This window comes from Homo sapiens, chromosome 4 (genome assembly GCF_000001405.40).
Source record: "Homo sapiens chromosome 4, GRCh38.p14 Primary Assembly".
Classification (NCBI taxonomy): domain Eukaryota; kingdom Metazoa; phylum Chordata; class Mammalia; order Primates; family Hominidae; genus Homo; species Homo sapiens.
The window spans coordinates 118,636,994-118,640,673 of record NC_000004.12 but is presented as its reverse complement, the minus strand read 5'-3'; the positions used below and the strand labels follow the sequence as shown (position 1 = coordinate 118,640,673).

At 52.3% G+C, this 3,680-nt stretch overlaps 1 pseudogene; it reads left to right on the top strand.

Moving 5' to 3' along the window:
* Positions 1,848–3,680, top strand: CICP16 (capicua transcriptional repressor pseudogene 16; annotated as a pseudogene).

Below are 3,680 nucleotides of genomic sequence, written 5' to 3'. Positions count from 1 at the left end.
GTGAAACCAATGTGCAGTTGTGACACCAAAGCAGTGTGGCTGAACACCCAAAAGAATATGCTTTTTTCTGATTATCAAACAAACCCAAATCATCACAGTAGAGCACGATCTTAATAGCAATCTCAAAAACTCAGGAGTAAACACTCAGATATGGAATTTTTCTTTTCTTTCTTTTTTCCTTTTATAAGATGGAGTCTCACTCTGTTGCCCAGGCTGGAGTGCACTGGTGCGATCTCAGCTCACTGCAACCTCCATCTCCCAGTTCAAGTGATTCTCCTGCCTCAGCCTCTTGAGTAGCTGGGACTACAGGCATGCACCACCACTACAGGCGTGTGCCACCACACCTGGCTAATTTTTGTATTTTTAGTAGAGATGGGGTTTTGCCATGTTGGCCAGGCTGGTCTCGAACTCCTGACCTCAGGTGATCCTCCCACTTTGGCCTCTCAAAGACTTTTTTTTTTTTTTTTAATATAGAGACAAGTTCTCAGTATGTTGCCCAGGCTGGTCTCAAACTCCTGAGCTCAAGTGATCCTCCCACCTCAGCTTCCCAAAGTGCTGGGACTGACTGGATGCAGTGGCTCATGCTCGTAAACTCAGCACTTTGGGAGGCCAAGGTGGGAGGATCGCTTGAGCCCAGGAGTTCAAGACCAGACTGGGTGATATAACACAATAGTAAACTTCAACAGGAGAATCTGTAAACTTGAATATAGATCTTCTGAAATTATCCAGTCAGAGGACAAAGAAAAAAAGAATAAAAAAGAGAAAAGAAGGCTGGGCGTGGTGGCTCAAGCCTGTAATCCCAACACTTTGGGAGGCCAAGGCAGGCAGATTAAGAGGTCAGGAGTTCAAGACCAGCCTGGCCAACATGACAAAACCCCATCTCTACTAAAAATACAAAAATTAGCCGGGTGTGGTGGCACACACCTGTAGTCCCAGCTACTTGGGAGGCTGAGGCAGGAGAATCACTTGAACCCAGGAGGCGGAGGTTGGAGTGCAATGTGAGCCGAGACCACACATTGCACTCCAGCCTGGGTGACAGAGCACGACTCTGTCTCAAAAAAAAAAAAAAGAAAAAAAAAGAGACAGAGAAAAGAAAGCCAACAAGACACCATTAGGCAAACCATTGTCAGGTTATGGGAGTTTGAGAAGGAAAGTAGAGAAAGGAAAAGAAAGCTTATTTAAAGAATGGCTGAAAACTGCCTAAATCATGGGAAAGATTTAGACATCTAAATCCATGAAGCTTAAAGATTCCTAAAGAGGTTGAAACCAAATAGATACTCACCAAGTCACAATATAATCAAATAGTCAAAAGTTAAAGAAACTTTGCAGGTCAGGACAGAATCGAATAATACATTCAAAGTGCTGAAAGAAAAAAACTGCCAGCAACTAATACTATGTCTGACAAAGCTGTCCTTCAGAAAGAAAGAAGAAATAATGTGTTTCCTCAACAAACAAAGCTGAGGGCATTCAGGACCACTAGGTCTACCTTAAAAAAATGCTTAATGGAGTTTTTCAAGTAAAAATGAATGAAGTTGGGAGCAGTGGCTCATGCCTGTAATCCCATTTTGGGAGGCTGAGGTGGGTGGATCACCTGAGGATGGGAGGTCAAGACCAGCCTGGCCAACATGGCAAAACCCCACCTCCAGTAAAAATACAAAAAATTAGCCAGGTATGAAGGCCACTGAGATCGTGCCACTGCACTCCAGCCTGGGTGACAAGAGTCAAACTACATTTCAAAAACAAAAAACAAAACAAACAAAAAAAAACAAAACTTGAGGCCTGGCCTTCTGCTCCTCTCCAACCCCCCCTTCTCTGGGCCCAAGCCACCTTGGCTGAGGAGGGGGCGAGGAGGTGAGCCCCTGCCAGGAACCCCCTGCCCGGACCAAGTACTCGGCCCCCAGGCCTGCGTTCAGTGAGGCCTCCCGTGGCGTCAGCATGTTCGTGTGGAGGAATGTGGAAGGTCACTCTGTGGCCGTGTTCCCCTGGTACTCCATCCCCTTCCTGACCCCTCCCTGCAGCCACACGAGGCCCAGCAACCTGCCAGTCACTCAGTGGCCTCCAACCAGAGAAAACAACCTGCCAAGTTGGCAGCTGTTGCTCATGAGCATCCACCAGGTGGGACTGGGAGTGCTGACTCTGGGCGGCCCCCTGGAGCCACCTGCCCTGAAAGCCCAGGGCCCGCAACCCCACACACTTTGGGGGTGGTGGAACCTGGTAAAAGCTCACCTCCCACCATGGAGGAGGAGCCCTGGGCCCCTCAGGGGAGTCCCTGCTGGACAGTGAGACAGAGAATGACCATGATGATGCTTTCCTCTCCATCATGTCTCCTGACACCCCGTTGCCTCTACCACTCAGATGATGTCAGGCCCAGTCCCTCAGTGCCCTGCACAAGGAACAGGACTCATCTTCTGAGAAGGATGGACGCAGCCCCAACAAATGGGACAAGGACCACATCCAGTGGCCCATGAGTGGTGGTCATGATCTTCAGCAAGCGGCACCAGGCCCTGGCAGGGCGCACCAGGGTCACCCCAACCAGGATAACCGGACCGTCAGCCAGATGCTGAGCGAGCGGTGGTACACCCTGGGGCCCAATGAGACGCAGAAATACCACGACCTGGCCTTCCAGGTGAAGGTGGCCCACTTGCAACAAGGACCGAAAGAAGTCCAGCTCAGAGGCCAAGCCCACAAGCCAGGGGCTAGCAGGAGTGTAACAAGGGCTTGTGGGAGCGGAGCATATCAGAGACGGGCACTGCCACTGCCCCTGGGGTGTCCTCTGAACTCCTGTCAGTTGCAGCCCAAACACTCCAGAGCTCGGATACCAAGGAGCAGCTTCTGTGGGGCAGAACGGCTGCACACAGTCAGGGAACCTGGCTCAGCCTGGCCCAAGCCTTCACCCACAGGGGGGTACACAGCCTGGATGGCAGGGAAATAGACCGTCAGGCACTACAGGAACTGACACAGGTGGTGTCTGGCACTGCATCATACTCTGGCCCAAAGGCTTCTACTCAGTATGGAGCTCCAGGCCACTTTGCAGCCCCTGGTGAGGGAGGTGACCAGTGGGCAGCCCTGCTGCTGCCCACCTGAGCTGCTCATTCCCAGCACATGGCCAGTGTGGACATAGCGAGTGACGAGGAGCACACGGTCATCCATGAGGAGGAGGGGGTGATGATGTCATTGCTGATGATGGCTTTAGCACCACTGACACCGATCTCAAGTTCAAGGACTGGGTGACCGACTGAGAGTGGGGACAACTCTGGGGAGGAGCCAGAGGGCAACAAGGGCTTTGGTGGGAAGGTATTTGCACCTGTCATTCCTTCCTCCTTTACTCCTGCTGCCCCTTGCTGGATACTGAGCCCCCAGGGTCCCCCGATCCACCTGCAGCTTTTGGCAAAGTCTATGGTCCCACCCTGTCCTCCTCCTACACATACTCGGATGCTTCCTCCTCAACCTTGACACCCACCTCCTTCTTACTGGGCCCAGGAGCCTTCAAAGCCCAGGAGTCTGGTCAAGGCAGCAGAGCGGGCCCCCTACGGCCCCTACCCCTGGGGATGGGGGCCCAGGGACACCTTCCAAGGCGACCTGTTTCCTCCCAATGGATCCTGCCACCTTCTGGTGCAAAAGACCTGAAAGTGTGGGCGACCTGGAGCTACCAGGCTCCTCAGTCATCAGGGTCCCTCCCA